The sequence below is a fragment of the Homo sapiens genome, chromosome 11 (assembly GCF_000001405.40).
Source record: "Homo sapiens chromosome 11, GRCh38.p14 Primary Assembly".
NCBI lineage: Eukaryota > Metazoa > Chordata > Mammalia > Primates > Hominidae > Homo > Homo sapiens.
Genome location: NC_000011.10, coordinates 88,194,563 through 88,197,050, shown reverse-complemented (window position 1 = coordinate 88,197,050; position 2,488 = coordinate 88,194,563). Strand labels below are relative to the sequence as shown.

Here is a 2,488-nt window from a genome sequence, read left to right as displayed (position 1 = left end):
TAGGTCACCTACAAAGGGAATCCCCTCAGGCTAACAATGGACCCCTCAGCAAACACCCTACAGTCTAGAAGAGATTGGAAGCCTATACTAAGAATTTTTAAGGAAAAAAATTTTCAAACAAAAAACATAAGCAAAGCAGAAATAAGAACCTTTACAGATAAGCAAATGCTAAGAAAATTTGTTGCCACCTGACCTGCCTTACAAGAGATCCTTAAGGGCCTGCTAAACATGGAAAGGAAAGACCATTACTAGTCACCACAAAAGTATACTTAAGTACATAGATCTTTGATGCTATAAAGCAACTACATAATCAAGTCTGCATAATAATCAACTAACAACACAACAACAGGATCAAATCTGTACATATCAATACTAACTTTGAATGTAAATGGGCTAAATGCCCCAATTGTAAGACACATAGTGGAAAGCTGGATAAATATGTAAAACCCAACTGTTTGCTGTCTTCAAGAGACCCATCTCACATGCAATGATACCCATAGCCTCAAATTAATGGGATGGAGGAAAAATCTACCAAGCAAATGGAAAGCAGAAAAAAGCAGGTGTTGCTCTTCCATTTCAGACAAAACAGAACACAAACCAACAATCATTAAAAAAGACAAAGAAAGGCATTACCTAATGGTATAAGGTTCAATTCAACAAGAAAACCTAATTTTTCTAAATGCATGCACCCAATACAGGAGCACCCAGATTCATAAAACAAGTTGTTAGATACCTATGAAGAGACATAACCACAAAATAATAGTGGTAGACTTCAACAGCCCACTGACAGTATTAGACAGTTCATTGAGGCAGAAAACAAAGATGTTCAGGACCTGACCTCAATATTTGACTAAATGGACCTAACAAACCTCTCCACCCAAAAGCAATAGAATATATATTCTTCTCATCAGCACATGGCACATACTGTAATATTGACCACACAATCAGCCATAAAGCAATTCTCAGCAAATAGAAAAAATACCTCAAAATCATATTAATCACACTCTCAGACCACAGTGCAATAAAAATAGAAATCAGTACTAAGAAGATGGCTCAAAACCATACAATTACATAGAAATTAACCTGCTCTTGAATGACTTTTGGGTAAACAATAATATTAAGGCAGAAACCAAGAAATTCTTTGAAACTAATGAGGACAAAGATACAACATACCAGGATCTCTGGGACACAGCCAAAGCAGCATTAAGGGGAAAGTTTATATCACAACCACCAGGATCAAAAAGTTAAAAAGATCTCACATTGACAACCTAACATCAGAGGAACTAAAAAAAAAGAAGCAAACCAACCCCAAAGCTAGTGGAAGACAAAAAATAACCAAAATCAGAGCTTAACTAAATGACATGGAGATGTGAAAAACCACACAAGATCTCTGAATCCAGGAGTTTATTCTTTAAAAGAATAAATAAGATTGATAGATCATCAGTTAGACAAATAAAAAAGAGAGAAGATTGAAATAAACACAATTAGATATGATAAAGGAGGCATTAGCACTGACCCCCCAGAAATACAAAACAAAACACCCAGAGACTGCCAGGAACACTTCAACACACACAAACTAGAAAACTTAGAAGAAATTGATAAATTCCTGAATACATACAAACTCCTAAATTGAACCAGAAGAAACTGAATCCCTGAATAGATCAATAACAGTTCCAAAATTGAATCAGTAATAAAAAGTCTACCAACCAGAAAAAGCCAAGGACCAGTTGAAACCACAGACAATTCTTCCAGATATATAAATAAGAGCTTGTATCATTCTGCTGAAACTATTCTAAAAAAAAATTGAGGATCAGGGACTTCTCCCCACCTCATTCTGAGGCCAGCATCATTCTGATACCAAAACCTGACTGAGACACTGCAGAAAGAAAACCGCAGGCTGCAGGCTGCAGGCTTCAGGCTGATATCCTTGATGAACACAGATGCAAAAATCCACAACAAAATAGTAGCAAACCAAATCCAGCAGCACATCAAAAAGGTAATCCATCATTATCAAGAAGGGTCTACCCCTGGTTTGCAAATTTGATAAACATCTGTAAACAAATAAATGTGATTCATTACAGAAACAGAACTAAAAATCAATCCACATGATTATCTCAATAGATGCAGAAAAGGCTTTCAATAAAACTCAACATCCTTTCATGTTAAAAACCCTCAATATCTAGGCATTGAAGGTACATCTATGACAAATCCACAGCCAATATCATACTGAATGGAAAAAAGCTGGAAACATTCTCCTTGAGAAAGAATCCACTCTCACTACTGCTATTCAATATGATATGGGAAGTTGAATAGCCAGCTTGATCAGATAAGAGACAGAAATAAAAGGCTTCCAAGTAGGAAGAGAGGAAGTCAAACCATCTCTGTTTGCAGATGATATGATTCCTCATATAGAAAACCCCATAGTATCTGCCCAAAAGCTCCTAGATCTGATAAACAACTTCAGCAAAATTTCAGGATACAAAATCAA

The 2,488-nt window shown here is 36.0% G+C and overlaps 1 annotated feature.

The window, feature by feature from the left end:
* Nucleotides 1,722-1,821: an enhancer, noted in NCBI's record as "active region_5378". NCBI's record gives its function as "activates an Ori minimal core promoter by ATAC-STARR-seq in GM12878 lymphoblastoid cells {active_cell/tissue: GM12878}" and the evidence as "EXISTENCE:reporter gene assay evidence [ECO:0000049][PMID:35858748]".